General features: G+C 43.9%; 1 long non-coding RNA gene across 2 annotated transcripts, besides 3 other annotated features; it reads left to right on the top strand.

Moving 5' to 3' along the window:
• The first annotated feature begins 1,066 nt into the window (after nt 1-1,066).
• Nucleotides 1,067-24,363, top strand: ZNF24TR (ZNF24 transcription regulator). 2 transcript variants are annotated; one of them, NR_186611.1, is made up of 3 exons: nt 1,067-1,608; nt 21,277-21,357; nt 24,210-24,363. It is a non-coding gene; the product is annotated as a ZNF24 transcription regulator (long non-coding RNA). The 2 variants fall into 2 exon arrangements; NR_186612.1 differs by having other exon boundaries at nt 1,067-1,905.
• Nucleotides 5,007-5,151: an enhancer, noted in NCBI's record as "145 bp enhancer 294 fragment used in the MPRA reporter construct; PK_construct_4061". NCBI's record gives its function as "activates an SV40 promoter by MPRA in K562 cells {active_cell/tissue: K562}" and the evidence as "EXISTENCE:reporter gene assay evidence [ECO:0000049][PMID:23512712]".
• Nucleotides 5,071-5,088: a transcriptional cis regulatory region, noted in NCBI's record as "GATA motif; enhancer activity is reduced when this motif is scrambled". NCBI's record gives its function as "necessary for full MPRA enhancer 294 activity {active_cell/tissue: K562}" and the evidence as "EXISTENCE:site-directed mutagenesis evidence [ECO:0005528][PMID:23512712]".
• Nucleotides 9,402-10,229: an enhancer, noted in NCBI's record as "H3K27ac-H3K4me1 hESC enhancer chr18:33037967-33038794 (GRCh37/hg19 assembly coordinates)". NCBI's record gives its function as "activates a minimal SCP1, AML or CMV promoter by ChIP-STARR-seq in naive H9 embryonic stem cells {active_cell/tissue: H9 hESC(naive)}" and the evidence as "EXISTENCE:reporter gene assay evidence [ECO:0000049][PMID:30033119]".
• Nucleotides 24,364-24,749: the final 386 nt, after the last annotated feature.

The following is a 24,749-nucleotide window of genomic DNA, read 5'->3' as shown; positions in this document are numbered from 1 at the left end:
GGTGACCCCCCTTTTAGAGCATGTTAGTCTTTGTCTCTGATCAGAATGCTTAGAAGAATTCCAAAATTGGGTCCAGAGAAGAAAGAGGCAAGTAGTTTGTTCTGTCCCACTGGGCTGGTTCTCACATGTGCCTCTGCCTCAGATCGGCCTCCCCTCATCTTTGGAGGTGTGGAGTACCAGCATTGACACTCTGTCCCAAAAGGGCTTTTGTCTTGGTACAGGATGCCACCCCTCTGGCTGCAGCCTGCTCCAGAAAGGGAGTGTTTGCATCTCCATCCTCCAAGAAGAGGAAGCATTTTCTTGGCCGGGGAAAGGAGAGTGTCGAGATAAGTCCTGGGCCTCTCTGGGCCCTATACCCGCATTTCCCCAGGGAGGACAGTGGAAACAGGCCCTGGGGCTTCTGGACCACAGCTGCCTCTGCTTTGGGGAATTAGGCACCAGGTGTCCTTTCTCTCTGGGGAAAGCCCTTCTTCAGGCTTAGAGAAAATAAAACAAAGCAAGTCAGCTGGGAGAGCAGCCTGTGCAAGTGGCAGCTGCCTGGAACCAGGCTCCTTTTCCTCCAGGTTGGCAGCCCCAGCATCCTTCAGCACCTTCCCAATAACAAACCGAGAGCGGGAGAGGTGCTGTGGGGCCTCCCCCTGCCTCCATGACAAGGGACCTGAAAGGATGGCCAGAAGAGGTGGGGGCCTTTCCTAAGCCCACAATCACCGAGCAAGCATCAGAGTCACCTGGGAGCCTCCTGTGACACAGATTAGGGAGCCTGTCTCCCTGAAGTACCTGATCAGTAGATGGTCTGGGGTGGGGCCCAAGAATTTGCATGTTTGCTTTGATGATGCTTTGAGACCCACTTTGATGAAGCTTTGAGACCCATTTTGCTGATGAAATCAATGGTCTCTGAAAGACCAGAGGCTGCTGTTTGGTTTCCGCTTGTACTTCCTGCCAGATGTCAGCCTAGGAAAAACGCCAGCTTCCGTTTTGGTAGAAGCAAGGAGGGAATGAGCCAAGGGTCCTTCCTGCTTCGCTTCCACCTTCTATTGTACAGAGAAAACTTGGGGCAGGTCCACTTCTTTTCCATGAAGGTCCCCAATTGGGCAGTGCCCTGAAATCACTTCTAATGCTGATGCTAGGCAACACCTCAGACCTACTGCTCAGACCCTCCAGGGGCAGGGCCCAGGATTGAAGAGGGAAGCCCTGCTCCACACGTGTTCATCAGGAAGGACCCACAGACTGCTGCTCCTGGAGGCCTCTCGGTTTATGGATGTGTGTTTGTTCCATAAACCCTCAGAGGGTCACCTGGAGACCCGCTAAAATGCAGGTTCTTGGGCCACATCCTAGACCTTCTGACCGACCCAGGGAGTGGGGCCCAGGAAGCTGCATTTGACAGATATCCCCGTGTGATCATCATGCACACAGGAGTGAGAGAACCAGTGTTCTCCCCGGGCAGAAGGGAAGCTCGTGTGCAGGACACCTCACACCTCCTTTCCCATTCCCCTGCCAGGCTCTCCCTGCTGACATTGTTTTTGCGGGAGAGCTGTGAATTCTGAAGATTAGGTTGCTTCTCACCCCAAGCTCCAGAAGTCCAGGCTGAGCCAAACCAAGCTTCAAGTTGTGAGTATTTTGAATAATGAGCCCTTGCTCATTAACTGATCCTGTACTGAAATAGCCCTTGCTGTCCATGCTGTACCCCGGTGGTTCTCAGGCCGGGCTGCACGTTAGAATCACCTGTGTGGGTGGGGGGTGTCCAGGAGGGGGATGGTGAGGGAGGTTTAAAAATACCCAGAGATTCTGATTCCACTGGCCTGTGCAGGGGCCCGGACATAGTATTTTGAACTCCCAAGATGCTTCTAATGTGCAGCCAGCGTTGAGAACATTTGCTGTAACTATGAAGAGAATATTTCATGTAAGGTACATTTTCTTATTCTCAGATCAGCTGGCTCTTTCCATCCCAGGCCATGAGCAAATTGCAAGGGGTTTCTTTGGGATGTGTGTGCATGTATGTGTGAATTTAGAGTTCCTTTTTACATGGCATCCCACACTGGAGTCAACTATGAATGCCATTGCAGATTCCTCCCTCTTCATTCCTACATCACCCTCTTCCTCTTCTACTTGGCTCCAATCCTGCTTCAGGATCACCTCATACCCTGCCTGACACTTTCAGTGTCCTCCTGACAACTTTGAATGACTTTGTTCATCACGGCATATCTACTGGTCATTTGCCTCTGATAAGAGGTCAGTTCTGGTATTGGTCTGCAGGATCCAAAAGAAAAACTCAGACACTTTAAGAGAAAAACAATTAGCTGGACTTGAGAAATCCTCTTAAGACCAAACTCAGGTCCAGTCTGCTCTGACTGGAGTTTGACTCTTTCTTAATCTGGTATTAGGCATGGTTTAAAACGACCTGTAACGTTGAAAATATGCTCTTCAGAGCCAGAAGGCAGTCCCTGTAGGTGAGGGGGACCCATTTTCCCCCATCTCCCAAGTTAAAGCATGGATCTGTCCAAATTTTAAATGTGTTTCATGATTGATTTGGCACCTGGTGGAGGGCTAAACATGTTTGCAGTAAGAAATCTCTTAATTTCTGAATCCATAGTCATTGGAAAAAGATACCAGATATTTGTTACTCTTTCCAGTGACTGTAAATTGGGAGAGTTTAACTTAGTAAAAATAAAGGGTAACGAAAGAAATCAATGGACTATGGAACTTGACCCCATTATCAAATAGGACAGATATCCTGGGGAGAGATTACAAATTATGCCCTCTTACAAATGCATGAAACAATAGTGTCATTTAAAATAATATTCTATCTGATGGGAATGTGTGGGCCTTATTTGGATCCTCATTCAAACAACAACAAAAAAAACTTTAAAATTTTGAGACATTTGGGAATCTGATATATTTTGATATTTGATAATATTTTGGAATTCTCACAAATAGTTGTGATTATGCTATTGTAATGTTAAAATAATTCATATTTTTAGAGACACCTACTGAAATATTTATGGATGGAATGATATGACATCTGGGATTTGCTTCAGAATGATATGAGAGAGAGGAAGTGGATGAGAATCGTGTTGAAATAAGATTGGCCATGAGTCAGTTATAGTTGAAGCTGAGTGATAAGTCCATGGGGGTTCTTTATACTATTCTGCCTTTGGTATATGTTTGCATTTCTTCATAATAAAAAAGCTTTCAAAAAGAATGAGATATTTTTATTACTAAAAATTGTGATGAAATCTTACCCAAAGTTAGTGCTTTGCATTAGCTTGCACTGGCTTACAGATGCTGAAAGTTTGAGAAATGCTGCCTAAATGGTATGCGGTCTTGAATAGAGGAAGTACCCAATTCCTAAAACATCTAACAAAGAATATAGAAGAGAAGAACCATGGACAGGTAAAGTTGTCCTGTAAATGTTCTTAATAGAGGTCTTCATTGTGTGTTCAGTTGTCCCGGAGGGCTGTGTATTTAAGAGTATTTTCTCTGTAGAGGTTAGGAAGCCTGAGAGTGAGAAGACCAAAGACTTCAGCTTTGAGGTTCTAGTGGGGTATAAATCTTAATAGAGAGGGCTGCGGATGCATTGAATGACTGACTATGGCTTGAATAAATACCTGTTGTTATAATTCCTGATAGAATCTGCAGTATTCATTTATGTAAATAGAGAAGGAAATTAGGTTATCAAAGAACTATGCACCTGCACAAATTGTTTGGCTTCAAGGAATTGCTTTTGCTGAATTTCAACAGGGTTTATGCTTTTGTGCCCATATTAAGGAATTGGATTGAAAGAGGTCAGGAGATATGGACCTACAAAAATGCCTATTACATTTGTCTCAGAAATGTCCCACAGAACCCCACTCCCCCACCCCAGTCCTGTAGGGTGAGCTTTTTCATTCAGGACCCAGACATGGAGCCTGATAGCCTGGGTTTGAATCTCATTTCTGCATCTCACTAACTGTAGTCTTGGGCACATTACGAACTTACTCTTGAATTCTTAGTTTCCTTATCTGTAAAATGAGTGTTATAATAATGTCCACCCCACGAGATTGTCAGGATCAAATAAGAAAATGTCAGAGAAACACTTAACTCGGGACTGGGATCACCCACATCCCCTCTGGTCTGTGCATTAGAAAGGCAGAGTTTTCCTGACTTGTATGTTCTGCTTGGTTATATTTCTCATTTCCTTGGCTCCTAGGACTCTTGGCTCATGCCCGCTTGTAGTAACTGAATAACATCATATGATAGATGTTTCCATGTGCTCATCTTATTGCTGGCTCTATCAACTATTTTCCTTGCCTTCTTCATTGCTTATTTTGACCATTTCTTTTCGTCCTTTATTCTCTTATTCTAATAAGCTTGCTCAACTTTTTTATGAGACAAGGGAAGGAGTAAATAACTAGCTAAAGAAGCAATGATCTGTGATTGAGGCCGGGGGAGAGAGAGGGGTTGAGGGATTTGTGGGGTGAATAGCAGAGGACTTTAATGGAGGAACTCCTCTAGAATAATGAGGGACAGAAAGAGCCAGTAGAAACCACCCACTGGACCTCTTAAAAATCACTAATGTTTTATGCCTTCTTTGGTATTCACCATGTATACTACCATGTTTCCTATGTAATAGCAAACCTTAAAACCCTAAAAAAACAAAAAAGGGGGGCTAGTTGTTTACTTGTTTTGATGACCAGCTTGAGCAGGAAAAGGAGGGATCCTTCTTCCTGGATCCACAGAACTGGATCCAGCCTGGTTTTCTTCCATAACTCAGTGGCCTCTGTCTACTTGTACTTCTGTTCCAACTGCCGTCAAAGCCTTTCCTGAGAAGAGTCAGTGTTTTCCTGGCCTACAGGATGCTGACTACTGACAGGTGCACAGTGTGCACCAAACACACCACTCGCCTCCCCTGGGGTCAGGAAGATGAGTCACATCCATCAGCCCTGGTGGCTTGGAGCCTTGGATCTTTCTAGTATGAATCCAGGAGGGCATAGCCTGGGGTTCTGCAGTGTGGAATACTGCAAGGGCTTTTATCAGGGAGCCAGCCAAGGCCTTGGTGACTGATATCTCCCCTAATAACATCTGGAAAGGAAATTGCTCACTAGAGATAAAGAAGAGAATTTCTGCTCTTCGCAACGGAAAATTATTACAGACAACATTAGACCTCAAAAATGAGCTTCCTCAAAGTACGCATTTGTACAACTCCCCCCGAACTCCTTGCTTGGCTGTTTGGAAGGTTTTGTAGAAAAACAGTAACCTGGCCAGGCGTAGTGGCTCATGCCTGTAATCCCAGCACTTTGGGAAGCCGAGGCGGATGGATCACCTGAGGTCAGGAGCTCAAGACCAGCCTGGCCAATGTGGAGAAACCCCATCTCTGCTAAAAATACAAAAAATCAGCTGGGCGTGGTGGTGCATGCCTGTAATCCCAGCTACTCGGGAGGCTGAGGCAGAAGAATCACTTGAACCTGGGAGGTGGAGGTTGCAGTGAGCCGAGACTGCACCATTGCACTAGGCCTGGGCAACAAGAGCGAAAGAGAAAGAAAGAAAGAGAAGAGAGAGAGAGAAAGGAAAGAAAGAAAAAGAAAAAGGAAGAGAAAGAAAAAAGAAAGAAAAGAAAGAAAGGGAAAGAAGGAAGGAAGGAAGGGAGGAAGGAAGGAAGGAAGGAAGGAAAACAGTAACCTAAGGAATTTTCTTTGAAATTCAGTGCTGCCATTTGTTTGCTTATGGAGTGGCACAGAGCCCACAGCATTTGGCTCTGCCTCAGAGGCAAACATGGCTACAGCAGCCAAAGAGAAACACAAAGGAGGACACTCTAGGAATGGAACCTATAAGTGGGGACTTCTGGGTGCACGTAAGTTCTTGGAGAGCACAGGCAAGGCCTCCTGGTAGCATCACCTGGGCCAGGGCCCTTCTCAGAGAAAAAGGGACTGAGCAATGTGGATGCTTTCCCAGAAAACTGATTTCATTGGCCTACAACGAGGTTTATATTTTATTTGTAGAAGTCTTTTGTTTATTTTTCTTCTTTATCTTTCTTCTCTATTTTAAGTGAGTAGAAAGTTAAAAAAGCCTACTACTATACAAGAAGTCAGATTTAGACATTGAAAAATACATACAATACGTTGGTAAGTGAACAACAATAAAATCACAAATATAGACAACCACCTTTTTGTAGTTTAAAAAAATCAGTAAGAGAGGATGTGAAATGATTTATGTTAAGGAGTTAATGATTGTCTCCTTTGGAAAAAGGAGTGGATTTGGGGTGGGAGGATGAAGAAGGAGAACTTGAATGTCTTAGAATTTTTGGAAAGAGTACAATATAATTTACAAAGAGTGAGAGAGACTCAATTTAGGAGCCCTGGGCTGGGAGGATTGCTAACACTTTCCTGTGAACTCAGGAAAATTCCTTGAGGTTGGACCATCTGTCCTCTGCTGCCTCCGTCCATAAGGCAAGCCCACCGCCACCCATCAGGATCCAGGGTCGCTCTGCCCTGCTCTGTGTCAGAGCCTCTAGCCCTCCTGATAGCACAGCCACTGCACTTGACGGCACACCGTGCACCCCACACACGTTGTTTCCATCTAATGCCCACAACAATATTGAGGCAAGTGTAGCGGCGGGCTCGCTCTACACCTAAGGAACCTGAGGTTCAAGAGAGAAACTAGAGGCAAGGGAAGGCTGTGAGCCAGGCCCCTGCATCCACGCCCAGCACTCCTTCTCAGCCCCTGTGTCCTCTGGCAGGAGAAGGTTGGCTTGGAGCTACCTGCGGAGGGCAAGGAGAAGCAGAGGAACACTGCCTGGGACACTCATGAGAAGCACATCACCCCATGTCACGTTCTGTGATGGTTAATTTCATGTGTGAACTGGGCTAGGCCACAGTACTCTGATACTTTGTCATATGTTGTCTGGATTTTTCTGTGAGGGTACTTTTTAGATAAGATTAACATTTAAACCAATAGACTTGGAGTAAAGCAGAGTACCCTTCATAATATGTGTGAGCTTTATCCAGCTAGCTGAAGGCCTTCGAGGAAAAAAAACTGAGGTCCCCAAAGAGAGGAAAGAAGCCTCTAGGCCCTCCTCAGACTCACATCTTCCCTGGGTCTCCAGCCTGCCCATCTGCCCTGCAGTTTTCAGACTTGCCAGCCCCGACAATCTTATGAGCCAATTCTTTAAAGTAAACCTCTCTCTCTATATATACACACAGCCTATTGGCTCTGTTTTCCTGAAGAAGCCTGGCCAAGACACTTTGTTTAAAGCAGAAGGGTGAGTGTACACATTTAATTTAAACTACCCTTCACTGGCATTACCACACCTAGCAGTGAGCATTGCACATCTTATATGCTTCATAAATATTTGAGTGGAAACCAACAATAAGGCTAAAATGCTGAATGGCTTTGCCAGATGTAGTATTTATTTAAACTATTGTTTTGTTTTCTTATGAGTCATTGAATGGGAAGGAACTGAAATTGTCTTGAAATTGTGAGTGGGTAGAGAGGGCTGGGAGCAATGGGTGGTGAGGTATCCCCCATTTCTAAAGATTCTGTGACCCACATTATTCCAGAAATTCTAGTTTGTGTTTTGTCTTTTTCTTTGTTTTCTTTCTTCTTTTTTGTTTTTTCTTTTTTTTTTTTTTTTTTGTAGACAGAGTCTTGCTCTCTCACCTAGGCTGGACTGCAGTGGTGCAATCATAACTCACTGCAACCTGGAACTCCTAGACTCAAGGGTTCCTCCTGTCTCAGCCTCCCAAGGAGGTATAGATAGATACACTTGGCTAATTTTAAAGTTATTATTATTGTTTTGTAGGGACAGGGTCTTGCTTTGTTGTCCAGGCTGGAATGCAGTGACGCAAACATAGCTCACTGCAACCTGGAACCCTGGCCTCAAGCAATCCTCCTGCCTTGACCTCTCAAAATGCTAGGCTTACAGCCATGAGCCACTATGCCTGGACTGTCTTTTTACTCAGAGTAAGCAGGGACAGGGAAGACCAGAGGGAGAGCCCTAGGACAGGCAATGTTGGCGTCTTCCCCTACCCTAGCTGCCCTGAGCCTCTTGCTGTGCAGGTCCCTCCTTAGGGAGAGGCCTGATCCCATTTTGTCATTAGTCACAAACACCACTTACTGGCCATTTGCGCTGGGCCCTGCACTGTTCCCTCAGGACTTCCTCAGTATCCTCTGTGGCAGGCACTATTGCTTCCAGTTTAACCCTGGGGGAAGCTGAGGCTCAGCAATTTTGGGCCATCAGCCCAAGCAGCACAGGAACATAGTCCAAGCTTGTCTTGAAGCTACTGGGAAGAGGAGAGGTGTCTAGGAGGATGTGCCCTCGCTTTCCTTCCCTGGGATCCCCAACCACCTAACCCCACTGCCTTTTCTTTTTTTCTTTTTCTTTTTTTTTGAGATCAAGTCGCATTCTGTTGCCTAGGCTGGAGTACGGTGGTGCGATCTCAGCTCACTACAACCTCCGCCTCTTTGGTTCAAGTGATTCTCCTGTTTCAGCCTCCCAAGTGGCTGAGATTACAGGTGTGTGCCACCATGTCTGGCTAATTTTTGTATTTTTTATTAGAGACAAGGTTTCCCCATGTTGGCCAGGCTAGTCTCAAACTCCGGACCTCAGGTGATCCTCCTGCCTTGGCCTCCCAAAGTGTTGGGATTACAGGTGTGAGCCACTACATCCGGCCCCCCACCACTTTTTGAAGAGAAGAGCCTAACAAAGGGATCAAGACTTTGTATCCTAGCATCACCATCCTCAGAACTCCATCCTAGGTATAGAAGAGTCCTTTTTAATCCCATTAACATTTCTGGCTTAGCGTCTCCTTAAATGAGTTTCATTCAACACAACATTTCATTTCCCACAATGTGGCAATCTCATCCCCTATCCCCTTTTACCTGGAACACTCCCTTTTCCCCAGCACTTAACTCAGCAGTCGCCTCCTCCAGGAGGCTCCCCCGTCCCCTCCTCTGCCCTCTGCCTTCCTCCATGGAACCCTGGCAGTCCCCCAGCTCCACAGTTGTTGCCTTGCATGGTCACCAGGGTAAGACCTTAAGGGCAGGGACACTCCACAGTGTCTGGCAAATGATGGAATGGACAGTGGCCTGGTCCATAGGCCAAGCTGGAGGCAAGGTGGCCTGTGGCCTGGAACAGTGACTCAGGCAGGAGGAATGTGGCTCAGGCTGCCTGCAGCTGCGATAAGGAGGACAGGATGGGGCTCTGCAAAGGACATCCTGCAGCAGCCAGGGGACTTTCCATGCAGAAGCACATGTGGAAACCCACAGCCTGAGAGAATCCTGGCCTGCATACTGCACAGAGTCCTTGAGGGTGAGCAAGAAGAAGACTGGAAATGCCATCCCTCTGTCACCAATCCACAGTGGGTTTGGGGAGGAGGCATGGCCAACATCCACTGGGCTGCACAGACAGTTTTATTACTACCCCACCTGGCTCCTGCCTTCTGGGGCCCTGCAGCCCATGAATTAATCCCTTTCCAGGCTAGCCTGGGGTACATCCATCCCCTTTGGCTCCTAACCCATGGAGTCAAGCCTCGGGCACATTTCTCCTACCAGCCTGGTTTGGGCCATATCTATGTAATGCTTTTGCCTTCATTTACTTAGGTTGCTCCCTTAAACAGGCTCACATTTTAAACATAACCTCTGCCTCCTAAGCAAATACTTATATTCATAAATTACTCCCACCTGAACCACCACCACTGCCACCACCCACAGGATTCCTGGGCTTCCTTGCAGCATAGATAAAAGCTTTTTTGGGCATCCACTTACCAGGCACTGGGTGGGAGCAGGCAGCAGGGCACATCCTCCCTCCTTGGAAGCAATATTTACTCAGCAATTCTCCACTCAGCAGTGTAAATCACTGTGGCTTCCCAGCAGGCATATGATCTCTGCCTGGTCGGGTTTCTCTCCCTTTTCCATGACTGAATCTGAAGCTCAAGCCCCTTTCCCCACAGCCTCTCCCACATATGCCTGGAAACTGAGGTCTGGCTCATCCTTCAGGGAGCTCCATGCTTCCCTGGTAAGGTAAAAAAAAAAAAAAAATCATCCTATTAATGCCCACAGTGATGTCATGTTGACACCGTGTACCCTTGATAGGATGTGATGAGAATGGCATTTCACCTCTGTGGTCTCCTTCCCAACACCCAATAGCCTAATTATGAGAAAAACATCAGACAAATCCCAACTGAAGGACATTCTAAAAAGTACCTGACCAGTAGTCTTCAAAACTGACAAGGCCATCAAAAATAAAGTCTGAAAAGCCGTCACGACCAAGAGAAGCTTAAGCAGACATGACAACTAAGTGAAATCTGGTGTCCTAGAAGGGACCATGGAACAGAAAAAGGACACGAAGCAAAACATAAGGAAATCTGAATAAACTATAGACTTCAGTTAATAACAACATATCACTATTGGTTCGTTAATTCTAACAAATGTGTCACACTAGTGTTATGATGTGAATAATAGGGGAAACTTGGCGTTGGAGCTGTAGAACTGTGTAGTATCTTTGTAACTTTTCTGTAAATCTGAAACTGTTTTAAATTTCAAAGTTTATTTTAAAATCATAATAAAGGTTACTGCAGGAAAGAATGGAGCAGCAATTGCTTGGTCAGGTGTCATGGAAGAAAATCTTACTCATGAATCCCAAATGCTGCCTTTCAAACTTTAGTTACGATAAAGTATCAACTAGTTACTAAGTGGGAAATCCACTTTCTTTCTTTCTTTTTTTTTTAACTGCTATTTTAACTATTACACAATCCACAAGAACTATTATTAATATGTACTTTAAAAATTCTGGTTTGACTTATTCTGATTCAAAATGTAATATATTACTTGTTAGGACTTGAACAGATTGTGAAAGTTGCTCCTACCTTAAGAAATAGTATTATTTGCAGAACACCCCTTTAAAGAGTTTTTGGAAATGACTCAGAATGCCCAGTTACTCCACCACATTCTACCCTGTAGGAATTGTGATAAAGAAGCAGTGCTTTCCGGTGATAGCTAGGTGCAATAAAACCAAACAAGTAGATTCCATACCTCATCGTGCATATGCAAAGCCTAGCCCATTCTTTCCTGCAGTAGTTGGTGAGGTTATCAATATGTGTCTGATTTTCATCCATCAAATGTTTCTTGAGCTGCCATTGTTTTATGGGGAGAGGGACGATTTGAGAAGGGGAGAGATGCTCTCAAAGGGAAATTTGGGAAGAAGCTTCTCTTGTTCTGAGTACAGATATCTCAAAATATAACATTAGTGTCTTGATTTGCATATTTGTGGTACATAACACATTGTAATACCATTCAAATTATAAAATACTTTCTCTTTTTTTTTTTTTTTTTTTTTGAGACAGGGTCTCACTCCATCACCCAGGCTGGAGTGCAGTGGTGCCATCTTGGCTCACTGCAACCTCCCTCTTCCAGGCTCAAGCAATCCTCTCACCTCAGCCTCCCTATAGCTGGACTACAGGCACGCACCACCACACCTGGATAATGTTTATATTTTTTCGTAGAGACAGGGTTTTGCCATGTTGCCCAGGCATGCCTCGAACTCCTGGGCTCAAGTGATCGGCCTGCCTCCGCCTCCCAAAGTGCTGGGACTACAGGCATGAGTCACCGCTGCACCCAGCCATAAAGAAATAAATGGAAAAAAAGTCCTGGCAACGGTCTTTGAAAAACTGAAATATACTCCATGAACCCTGTCATGCAGACCTGCCCAACTCTGCAATCTTAGCATCTCATTGTTTTGTTTTCCCTGTCATGTCTGCAGCTCATCTGTCTCTTGGGCTTCTTCCTATCTCGGTCCTGGTCCCCATCCCCTGTGTTTTACTCTTTGCCAGCTTTTTTTCTGGTTTTATGTTCTTCCTTGTCCAGAGCACGACCTTCATCTGTGTATGAGTCAACACAGAAAACCTGACCCAAAAAGGCCAGGTCCAGGAAGGGTGCAGCTCAGCTTTTACTGAGTGTCCTGTATGCTTTGTCAAGTCCTCCTTACGGGTTGTCTCATTTAGTTAGCAATGGATTTGGCATTTCAAGAGGAAACAAGGTTTAGAAGTCTCACAAAACAATCAGCCAATCAAAGAAGCCATAGAGCTACTGAGTGACTTCAACATCTCCAAACTCATTTCTGAGTATGGCCCACACTTAGAGAATGATCTGATAGTATTCATTTCTCTGGGCTGTTTCCTCATTTTCCCTTGAGTAGTAACTAGTGAATCAAAGGATCCCCGAGTTAAGCAAAATCCAACTCATCCACTCCTAGCTGAAGGTTCTAATGCTGCTCATTTCCATAAAACAAAGATTTCCCAGAGCCTGAAGTGGCTTCCTGTTGGCTACTTAAACAGCACAACATATGGTAAAATCAGACTATTAGTTTCTATAAAAAAGTTTATATATATATTAAAAAGGCCTACTACAATTTTGATTGGAATTGCATTGAACCTATAGATCAATTGGAAAAGAATGAGTATCTTAATATTGAGTTTTCTGAAACATAAACTTGACTCATCCTTCCATTTATTTAGATCTTCTTTAATTTCTCTCAGTAATGTTTTATAGTTTCCAGTATAGAAGCCTTGCGCATATTTTATCAAATTTATTCCTAAATATTTTATGGTTTTTGGTTGCTATTATAAATGGTCTTTAAAAAATTTATTTACAAGCGGTAGTATTCACTTTTGTGATATATATTTCTATGATAGATTCTCTTTTTTTTTTGAAAAACTGGGATATAAATTACATATATTAAAAAGCCTTTTAAAGTGTCCAACCCAGTGGTTTTTAATATATTCACAAGGTTGTGCAACTGTCACGACTATCTGATTTTTAGAACATTTCTATAATCCCCTCAAAGAAGCCCCCAGTCTATTAGTAGTCATTTCCCCCTCCCTCTAGCCCCTGCCAACCACTAATCTGTTTTCTGTCTCTGTGGACTGAGCTATTCTATTTATTTTGTATAAGGAGAATCATATAAATAGAATGATATAATATGTCACCTTTTGTGTCTGGCTTCTTTCACTTAGAATAATGTTTTCAAAGTTTATCTTCATTATGGCATATATCAGAATTTCATTCCTTTTTATGGTTGAATAATATTCCATTGTGTGGGTAAACCATATTTTGTTTATCCATTGTCCATCAATGACACTTGAGTTTCTCCCTCCTTTTGGCTATTATAAATAGTGCTGCTATAAACACTCATGTACAAGTGTTTGTTTGAATATTTGTTTTCAGTTCTTTTGAGTATATATCTAGGAGTGAAATTGCTGAGTCATATTATAATTCTGTGTTTAACTTTTACAGGAACCACCAAACTGTTTTCCACAGAGGCTGCATCAATTGACATTCCCACTAGCAATGGATGAGGGTTCCAATTTTTCCAGATGCTCACCAACACTTGTTAATTTTGGTTTTGTTTTCATTATGGCCATTCTGGTGGGTGTAAAGTAGCATCTCATTGTGGCTTGACTGAATTTCTCTAATGAGTAATGATGTTGAGCATTTTTCATGTGCTTATTGGCTATTTGTATATCTTTGTTGGAGAAATATCTGTTCAAGTTCTTTGGCCATTTTAAAATTGGGTTGTCTTTTTGTTGTTGAATTGTAAAGTTCTTTAGATATTCTGAATACTAGATCCTTATTAAATATATGATTTGAAAATATTTTTCCCATTTTGAATGTTGTCTTTTCATTTTTTGGATAGTGTCTTTTGGTGCACCAAACTTCAAAAATTTTTTCGAAGTCCAGTTTATCAATTTTTTATTTTGTTGCCTGTGCTTTTGGTGTCATATCCAATAAGTCATTGCCAAATCCAATGTCACAAATATATTTTTGCTGCTTTCTTGTAAGAGTTATACAGTTTTAGCTCATATGTTTAGGTCTTTGATGCATTTTGAGTTAATTTTTGTATGTAGTGTAGGATAAGGGTCTAACTTCATTCCTTTGCATGTAAATATTCCATTTTTCTGGCACCATTTGTTGTAGGAACTGTCATTTCCCCATTAAATGATTTGGCATCCTTGTCAGAAATCAATTGTCCATACATGTGAGGGTTTATTTCTGGGCTCCCAATTCTATTCCATTGGTCTATACATCTGTTCCCATGCCAGTACCACACTGTTTGATTAATGTCGATTTTTAGTAAGTTTTGAAATCAGGAAGTGTGAATCCTCCAACTTTGTTCTTTTCAAGATCATTTTGGTTATATGGGTTACCTTAAGATTCCATTTGAATTTTCGGATGGGTTTTTCTATTTTTGTAAAAAATATCATTGGGATTTTGATAGGAATTGCACTGAATCTGTAGATCGCTTTGGGTAGTACTATCATATTAACAATATTAAGTCTTCCAAGCCATAAACATGGACTGTCTTTCCATTTATTTAGATTTTCTTTAATTTCTTTCAGCAATGTTTTGCAGTATTCAGTGTACAAGTCTTTTGCCTCCTTTGTTAAATTTATTCCTAAGGATGCTATTCTTTCTGATGCTAGTAAAATAGTTTTCCTAATTTCATTTTCAGATCATGCATAACCACCACCATAAACATGATTCCAACACCCCAGAGTATTCCCTCAGTCTGACCTTTTGTAAAGTGGTGCTTTTTAAAATTTAATTTTCCAATTGCTTGTTGCTAGTGTATAGAAATACGACTGATACTTTTATATTGGCCTTGTATCCTGAGACCCTGTAAATTCACTTATTAGTTCTAGACAGTTTTAATTCTTTCTTTCCAATCTTTATGCCTATTATTTCTGTTTTGTTTTGTTTTTTAAACAGGGTTTGGCTCTGTCACCCAGGCTGGAGTGCAGTGGCTTGATTCCAACTCACTGCACCCTCGACCTCCTGGGCTCAAGTCATCCTCCCACCTCAGCCTTCCAAGTAGCTGGGACTACAAGCATGAGCCACCACACCCAGCTAATTTTTTTTCTTTTCTTTTTCTTTTTTTTTTTTTTTGGAGGGTGCAGGGAGCAGAGTCTTGCTCTGTTGCCCAGGCTGGTCTCAAATTCCTGAGCTCAAGTAATTCATACACCTTGGCCTCCCAAAGTGCTAGGATTACAGGCATGAGTCACCTTGCCTGACTATTACTTCTTTTTTTGAGACAGTCTTGCTCTGTTGCCAGGCTGGAGTGCAGTGGCATGATCTCGGCTCACTGCAACCTCCGCCTCATGGGTTCAAGCGATTCTCCTGCCTCAGCCTCCCAGGTAGCTGGGACTACAGATGCATGCCACCACACCAAGCTAATTTTTAGATTTTTAGTAGAGATGGGGTTTCACCATGTTGGCCAGGATGGTCTCGATCTCTTGACCTCATGATCCACCTGCCTCAGCCTCCCAACATGCTGGGATTACAGGCGTGAGCCACTGCACCCGGCCTATTATTCCTTTTTTTGCCCTATTGTCCCAGTGGATAGTGATGTCCAGTAGAGCGTTGAATCAAAGTGGTAAAATTGTGCGTCCTTGCCTTGTTCTCCACGTTAAGGTGAAATTTTGAAGATTTCATTATTACATATGATGTAAGCTGTAGGTTTTTATTTATTTATTTATTTAGAGACAGGGTCTTGCTCTGTCACCCAGGCTGGAGTACAGTGGCATGATCCACTGTAGCCTTGACCTCCCAGTCTCAAGCAGTCCTCCCACCTCAGCCTCCCAAATAGCTGAGACCACAGGCACATGCCACCATACCCTGCTAATTTTTTATTTTTTGTAGACATGGGGTCTTACTATCTTGACCAGGCTGGTCTCAAACTCATGGGCTCAAATCATCCTCCTGCCTCAGCCTCCCAAAGTGCTGGGATTACAGGCATGAGCCACTGCACCTGGCCTAACTGTGGGCTTTTTTTGAAATGTCTTTTTCAGGTTGAGGAAGGTCCCTTCTATTCCTAGTGTACTGAGAGTTTGTATCATGAAAAGGTATTGAATTTTGTCAAATGTTGTTCCTGTGTCTATTGAGATGGCTGTATGGGTTTTCTCTTTTTTCTGATAATGTGATGAATTATATGGATTTATTAATATTGAAATAATAAAATGACACTGCATTCTTCGGAAAAACTTCACTTGGTCATGTTGTGTTATTCTTTTTAAAAAATGCTGGGTTCAATTTGCTAATATTTTGTTAAAGGATTTTTGTGTCTATATTCATGAGGAATATTGGTCTGTGGTTTTCTTTTCTTGTAATGTTTTTTGTCTGGTTATGGTACTAGGATTGTGCTGGCCAAAACATTTAAAAATTGGGAAATGATTTCCTCCTCCCCTATTTTCTGAAACAGTTTATGTGCAATTGGTATAATTTCTGCATTGCAAGTTTGATAGAATTTAGTAGAGCCATCTGTGACTGAAGTTTCCTTGCAAGTAATTGCACATTCAATTTTTTAAATCAACTTGGAGATTTTCAGATTTTCTATTTCTTCCTGTGTCAGTTTTGTTATGTCGTTTTTTTAAGGTATCATAAATATGTTTAATATACTTGCTTGGCATCCATCTTTAGGCCTTACATAAGTTGTTTGAAACCCAGCCATTCCCCACCTCCTTTAGCCTAGTTAAAACTTCCCCTTCCTGTGATGGTTATTTCTGATATAGCCCACTTGTTCTTCATCCCACTGACCCCAAATCCCACACACCTCATAGCTGCTAACCGTGATAAAACCTAATGATCAACACCAGAGTCATGAAAGTAAGTTCCCCTCTTTGCACATATTTTCTTTAAATTAGATAATCCACAATCCCTGTGAGAAAGCCTAAAGGGTAACACCTATGGACCTTAATATAGGCATAGCCTCATAGGTCCTCCCTCCTACCCTTTTCCCTCTCCTTATCCTTCCCCATTTCCCTCTCCCTCTTCCCCATCACTTGCTGGTTGAGCTCCCTACTACCTCTACACTTCCCATCAGCCTCCCATCAGCACCCCTAACTTCCCTGGGAACTATAAGTAATAAATTCCTTCTATCTCATGCATTTTTGGTTACACTTCTTCATCGTGCCTCACCTGACACACACACTTGAACCTAACTTTACCCTAGTCAAGGCTCTCCTAGACAGTGGATATCTTGGCTTACGGCCAACTTTCCAGAGACAGCCCTCAAAACCAAATTAGATCAGGTGCAGCGGCTTACACCTGTAATCCCAGCACTTTGAGAGGCCAAGGCAGGCAGACCATTTGTGGTCAGAAGTTCAAGACCATTCTGGGCAATAGAGCAAGACCCTGTCTCTACCAAAAAAAAAAAAAAAAAAAATACAGCACAAGGAATTTGCCTATCTTGTCTAAGTCGTCAGTATTCTTGAGGATAAAGTTGTTCAAAATCCTTTATTTAATGTTTCCATGTCTGCAGCATTGCCAATAATAACCTCCTTTTGTTCCTGATGTTTGGAATTTATTTTCTATCTTGTTAACTTGCTCAGTCTGATGTCATTTTCTATCAGCCTTAATTAAGGATTTTCTTTACCATTTCTTGGAGTGCAAATCTGCTACAGATGACTCCTTTTGTTTATCCAAAATGCTTTTATTTTTGCCTTGATCTTTAAAAGATATTTTAGTAGTTTATAGATTCTGGGTTGCAAGTGTTTTTCTTTCAGCACTTTAAAGATTTTGTTCCATTGCCCTCTGGCATTCGTTGTTTCTGATGAGATGTCAGCCCTAATTTTTTTTATGTATATAAAGTGTCTTTTTTTCCTTTGGCTACTTGAAAGATTTTTGTATTTAACTTAGGCTTTTCAGCATTTTGATTATAAAGTGCCTGGATGTGATTTTCCTTGTATTTATTCTGCCGTGACTTGCTCAGCTTCTTGGGTCTGTGGGCTTATGTTTGTCTTTGTGAACTATCATGAAAAGCTTGGCTGCCTCTCATTCACATAGTCTTCCTCTGTGGCCAGCCTGCTCTTCAGCAGACTAGGTGCTGGCCTCCACTGGGCCTTTTGACTCAACCATGACGGGCTCATCACCACCTGAAATTCAGTTAATCAGGGCTTCTTTGCATCTGCCACTTACTCACCAAATGGAAAATTATGATTTTTGTTTCCTCTAGTTTTATCTTGTGACCATGATGGTGAAAACCTTTTGCGTTCTTCCTCCTAACTCTGAAGGAGAATTCCTGGCATTTTCTTATCCTCCTCATTCTGTATACATGGAGGGATTGTACTTTCTACCTTATAAAAGTGAGGTGTGGCCATGTGACTTGATTAACCAATGAAATGTGAAGGGCATGAAGTATCCTCTTTCTGGGCAGAATATTTAAGCCTTGTGTGTGATTGGGCACCATCACTTCTCTCTGTGTGATCAGCTAATAACAGCCCCCCAGAGAAATCCACATGTTAGTCTCTAGAATTTGTGAATATGTTACTTTACTTGGCGATAAGTATGCTGCAAATGTGATTAAGAATCTTGAGATAGGCAGATTATCCTTGATTATCCAAGTGGGTTCAACATCATTACAAGAGTCCTCATAAGAGAAAGTAGAAGAGTAAGAGAATAAGAGTAACAGAATAAGAGAAGATATGACCTTGGAAGCAGAAGTTGGAGAAGGAGAATTTGGAGAAAGAGAAGACGCTACATTGCTAGTTCTGAATATGGAGGGTGGAGTACTGAAACAAGGAATGCAGGTGGTCTCTAGAAGATAGAAAAGACAATAAAAAGGATTCTCTCCTAGGGCCTCCAGAAGAAAGACAGCCCTGCCAACATCTCTTTATTTTATTTTATTTTATTTTTGTTTTTTTTGTTTGAGAGAGAGTCTTGCTCTGTCTCCCAGGCTGGAGTGCAGTGGCATGATCTCTGTTCACTGCAACCTCTGCCTCCCAGGTTTAAGCGATTCTCCTGCCTCAGCCTCCCTAGTAGCTGGATTACAGGCATGTGCCACCATGCCTGGCTAATTTTGGTATTTTTGGTAGAGATGGGGTTTTGCCATGTTGGCTAGGCTGGTCTCGAACTCCTGACCTCAAGTGATCCACCTGCCTCCGCTTCCCAGAGTCCTGGTATTATATACATGAGCCACCATGCACAGCCCCAGCATCTCGATTTTAGTTCAGTGAGGCCCAATTCAGACATTGACCTCTACAACTATATATAATACATTTCTGTTGCTTTAAGCCACTTAAATTTGACATTAATTTGTTACAGCAGCAATAGGAAACAAATATATGCTGTCATGAGAACAGCAATGCTCCTGGTGGGAAAGGCTCTGTCACCTGCACTCCTGAAGGCAGGTGACACTCAGCAAAGCAGAGCCCCCACCTGACCATGGTGGATGGAGTATGAGCAAAAAATGGGGCTTTGGAGGTCTGGGCGCAGTGACTCAAGCCTGTAATCCCAGCGCTTTGGAAGGCTAAGGCAGGCAGATCACTTGAGGCCAGAAGTTCAAGACCAGCCTGGCCAACATAGTGAAACACGTCTCTACTAAAAATACAAAAATTAGCTGGGCAAGGTTGTGCTTGCTTGTGATCCCAGCTACTCGGGAGGCTGAAGCAGGAGAATCGCTTGAACCTGGGAGGGGGAGGTTGCAATTAGCCAAGATCGCACCACTGCACGCCAGCCTAGGTAACAGTGTGAGACTCTGTCTCAAAAAAAAAAAGCAAAGACAAAAGGAAATAAGGCTTTGTTTTTTTTAAGCAACCGAGATTTTGCAGATGTTTGCTTTTATAGCATAGCTACATGTCAATACAAATACCATCAAATACCATGTAAAGAATTTAAATCTATCTAACTTTGCTGTGGGACTTGAAAATTTTTTTTCAATGGGCCCTGAACCTTTTTTCAGGCCCTAGAAGTGATGAAGTATTGGATTATTCTGGCAGGAATCTTACAAATGGTTGAGAATGTATAAACCAAAAAGTACTCAAGACAAGTCTCAATCAGTTTAGAAGTTTATTTTGCAAGATTGAGGATGCACGCCCAGGAGACAGGTCTGTGCCTTTCTTCAAAGGTGATTTTGAGAGTTTCAATATTTAAAGGAGAAAGGGCAGATATTGGGGAAAGAGGAAGAAATTTTAAAAAGCTGTAGGTAGATAAGAGTCAAACGATTGTTCTTTTGAGTCTTTGATCAGCTGTCCACATGTGAGAAGGGTAGAGGAATAGTCACTTATGCATTCATCCAGCTCAGTGAATCTGCATTTTTACATAAGATGAAATAAGCATAGGGCAGAGGAAGAATCAGGTATGCATTTGTCTCAGGTAAGCAGAGAGATGACTTTGAGTTCTGTCCTTCGTCCCATACCCATGAAGATAAGCTATCAATTCACTTTGTCAGGGTGAAATTCAACAGAACTGTTCTAGGGTAAAGATCTTGGGGCCCGTGAGAAATTTCCTAGTGGGCAAATTATGAGGGAGATAGGTTTGCATGACACAGTTTCCAGCTTGACTTTTCCCTTTGGCTTAGTGAGTTTGGGATCCTGAGGTTTATTTTCCTTTCATAAATTAACTCAGCAAGTTGGTTGGGGACTTTGTGTGTTGTGGCTCCTCAGTTCCATAGGGGATAAATACAGAGATTTATGATGTTCTGCTGCTTCTCTCAGGGAGTGGGTAGTTTAACTGGAGGGAGAATCTGTGGATGCATGAAGCCCAGGGAGCAATAGGTGGTATGGATTTAAGTCACTTCAGAGGGCCCTGATAACAGTGAAGAAAAGTTACTATGGGGAAAAAAAAACTTGGTGCAAGAAGATAGCCTCTCTTAATCAGTAATAAGTTTTATCAAATGTTGCTCTTCAGCGGGTCAGAGAGCTACAGTCTCCATTTTACTTTATTTCAGAACAAGTCAAATGACAAAAACAAAACACCAGGCTGAAATCATAGGCTTCTACAAGCAGGTATGCTTCAGGGTTTGTCCTGGGGCCAGTGTACATATAACCCTGTATTTCCTTTGCTTATCTGTAGAACAGAGTGGTAAATGTTCTCAAAGACCACCTTATGATTCTATAGTATTGTAATAAGGACTTGGCAGTTTGCAGAAGGATAAAACATTCATTGCACTGGATCCTAAGGTAGCGAGGAATGCATTACATTTTTTAGAGATTTCTCCCATAATCATAGGATACAAATCCTCAAAAAGATCTAATGGATCATGGAATCTAATGCCCTATGAGGACCAGAGGGTCCAGAAAAACCCCGGGGGTGGGAGTTGTCTTCTAGGTTCTGAGATGAATAATTCCAGGGGCTGCATGGCACCGGGTTGGGGATGAAGACAGCCAGCCGAGTGAGAAAGAGTGTGAACCAGGGCCCTCAAGGCAAGAGATAGATTAAGCAGAGACAAGGGAGGAATGCCCTAGGGAGAAGAAGAGGGGTCCTTAGCATGACCGTGGGTTGGGTCCATTGTCACAAAGCCTGTTCTGTCTCCAGGTGCCTGGACTTGGAGAACCAGGAGGTGAGGGGACTGACTACTTGAAGATCACATGGAGGAGGAGTCTGATCCAGGCCCAGGTGGGCATCCATCCTCTTCCTTCTTGGCCCAGTGAAGACTATCCGTGGACCCCCATTTACAAGCCTTGGGGGCCTTTGCACTAGCTCTTCTTTCTGGTTGTAAACCTCTTACTGCACACGCCCTTGGCTCACAATAGCGCCTCCTTCTTTTCTCGATTGTCACCTCCCACACGAGGATTCCCTGACCACAGCTGTACCTGACCCATCTACCTTGCCACTGCCCATTCTTTTTTTTTGAGGAGGGGACTGGGGGACACAGTTTCACTCTTTCGTTCATGCTGAAGTGCAGTGGTGCAATCTTGGCTCACTGAAAGCTCTGCCTCCCAGGTTCAAGTGATTCTCTTGCCTCAGCCGACCCAGTAGCTGGGATTACAGGCGAGCACCACCACACCCGGCTAATTTTTGTGTTATTAGTAGAGACAGGATTTCACCATGTTGGCCAGGCTGGTCTCGAACTCCTGACCTCAAGTGATCCCCCCAACTCAGTCTCCTAATGTGCTGAGATTACAGGCATGAGCCACTGCGCCTGGCACCACTGCCCATTCTTCTCTTCTTTTTCCTTTTCTGTCTTTTCTTTTTCCAGGGCATCTCTCCCTTCTTCCAGCACGCAGTGCAATTTTCTTTACTCTGCTGGTGGCTCATTGTCTATCTCTTCCCAATAAAGTGCAAACTCACAGGGTGGGGACCCTCTGGTTTGCTCACTGATGGTCTCTAGTGCTGTACCTGCCTGGCACAGCTTGGGGCTCCCTAAGAACCTGCTGAATGGACAAAAGGGACATTTTCAAATATTAACCTGTTGAAAACAGCTTATTCCATATCCAGTTCAGGTAACTAAGGAGGTAGTATACTTTATATACTATCGTGACTTAAATTAGGGCTGCCAATGCTATGTGGGAGAATCCTGATACCTATTTGTGGCCTCCAACTAAATCATTCTTTTCCTTTTTTTTTTTTTTTTTTTTTCTTTGAGACAGTCTTGCTCTGTTGCCCAGGCTGGAATACAGTGGCATGATCTCAGCTCACTGCAACCTCTGCCCCCCAGGTTCAAGCAATTCTCATGCATCAGCCTCCCAAGAAGCTGGGACTGACTACAGGCATGCACCACCACACCCAGCTAATTTTTGTGTCTAACAGGATTTCGCCATGTTGACCAGGATGGTTTCAAACTCCTGACCTCAAGTGATCCACCTGCCTCGGCCTCCCAGAGTGCTGGGATTATAGGCGTGAGCCACCGCACCTGACCTAAATCATTTTTTATTTTTTTAAGAATATCGTGACTTGACCAAAGGCTTGAGTCTTCTTTGCTCCCTCCTGCTAGGTGTGGAAGCAGATATCCCCTCCATGGCTGGGTGAGTGGGCTGCAGAGGATCTAGGTTGTCATCCCTACCCCCACAGGAGTCAGGGCAGGGGTCACACATTTCTGTTTAAGCTTCTTCTTGGGTTATCCCTCACAGAGGGACAGGAGAGCAAGGAGCTCAGTGTTACAGCATCCACTCCCCCAACCGCCCCCCACCTCCCTCCCTCCCCACAATACACACACCCCTACAGAGAGCCTCTGGGGACATACTGCTCAGACATCTGCCACAATATGTGTCACCCCCTCACTGGGCTCCCCCAGTGTAAAAGGACAGGCACTGCAACTCCTGTCCCATCCATACTTAGGGGCATTGCCAGAGGCCAGGACCAGAGGACTTTGGACACGGTGAGACCCAAGATGCTGAATCTCGCTGTCAATTTAGGATCTGTTTGCAGCCTCCCAAGGTCATGCCCAATTGCTGGAAGAACTCATGGCTACAACTCTCTCTCTCACACACACACACACACACACACACACACACACACACACACCATGGCCTCTTTCCTGAAGCAGGTGGCTCTCCCTCTGGTCTGCAACAGCTTCTAAGTTTGCCGAGCTGCCCTGCACTTCCAACCCACATGCTGGCTTGCTCTCCATTCAGCAGCAGCAAGAGCAGCAGGCCTCTAATTTTGGTTGCTAGACACGTTGTGGATCTTTCAGAGTCTGGGTTTAGAGACAGACACCAGGGAGGCACAGTGCCAGAGACAGAGATGGCAGCTGGGATTGCCAACCCAGGGGCGGGCTTCCCATGGTGCCATGAAAAAGCGAGGAGACAAATCTCTTTATGCCTCTGCCTCCCTTCCCTTCTCCTTCCACTTCTTCTCAGACTCCACGTACGGCATCTCATGCAGGTGCCACAGCAGCCCTGCATAGCATTTGCTGTATCATCCCCATTGCACCAGGGAGGGAAGGAAACAGAGGATGCCTGGTCTTTTCATATACCATCCACGATACACCGATGGCCCACCTCTCCTTCTGTCCAGCTCTCAAGCCTAAGGGCCAGCACACAGCTCCTGTGTCTGCACATCAACCTTGGTGGGAGCTGTAGCTTGATTTGGAAGGAACCTGCATAGCATAACATCCCACATTCTTAGCTGAGTCTTTGCCAGGGCAGGGGTACTCAAGGTACCCTGACTTCTTTATGGCCCAGTCCCCACCCAGAGCAGTGACTGACGTGGTGCATGAGCAGACCTTAACCAAATTGATGCCCAAGGAATCCTTGGCCTTTACTTAGGAAAGTCGAACACCGTTTCCTGGGGAGCTGCTGTGGACTGACTTGTGTTACCCCAAAATTCATATGTTGAAGCCCTAACCCCAAATGTGACTGTATTTGGAGATAGGGCCTATAAGGAGGTGATTAAGGTTAAGTGAAGACGGGGTGCTGATAGGATTTGCGTCATTATAAGAGAGCTTGTTCTCTCTGTCTCTCTCTCTCCCCTCTCTCTCCCCCCCCCCCTCTCTCTCTGTCACTCTCTGTCTTTGCTTATGTGTGCAGGCACCAAGGAAAGGCCATGCAAGGACACAGGGAGAAGGGCAGCTGTCTGTAAGCCAGAAAGAGCCTTCACTAGAAACCAAATCAGCCAGAACCTTCATCTTGGACTTTCCAGCCTTCAGAGATGTGAAAAAATAAATTTCTGTTGATTAACCTACCCAGTCTATGGTATTTTGGTAAGGCAGCCCAAGTAGACTAACATAGGAGCCACTATGAGCCTGGCCCAGTATGGCCTGGCCCATAAATCCAGGCTCTGGGGCCTCTGATGGACTCTGAAGACAATGGTCTTCCCTGTGGTTCTTGACCCAGGGCTGCAGGCCTGGGCAGGCACCTGCGTTTCCTCCCATCCACGTCCTGCACTGCTCACTAAGCATTTATAGTTTAGTCTTTGAAGACTTCCTGGAAATGACTTCTGCTTTTCTTCCACAAATTGATAATCTTCCCCAGAGATTGTACTGAAGCCTGCAATGAAACTTCCTCAGACCCTCACCTTCTGCCCTAAGACACTGTAAAGAGACCACAGTGATTGCTCCCTGTAGTTCC

The sequence above is a fragment of the Homo sapiens genome, chromosome 18 (genome assembly GCF_000001405.40).
Source record: "Homo sapiens chromosome 18, GRCh38.p14 Primary Assembly".
Classification (NCBI taxonomy): domain Eukaryota; kingdom Metazoa; phylum Chordata; class Mammalia; order Primates; family Hominidae; genus Homo; species Homo sapiens.
Note: the sequence above shows the minus strand (reverse complement) of the source record. Positions and strands in the feature narration are given on the sequence as shown.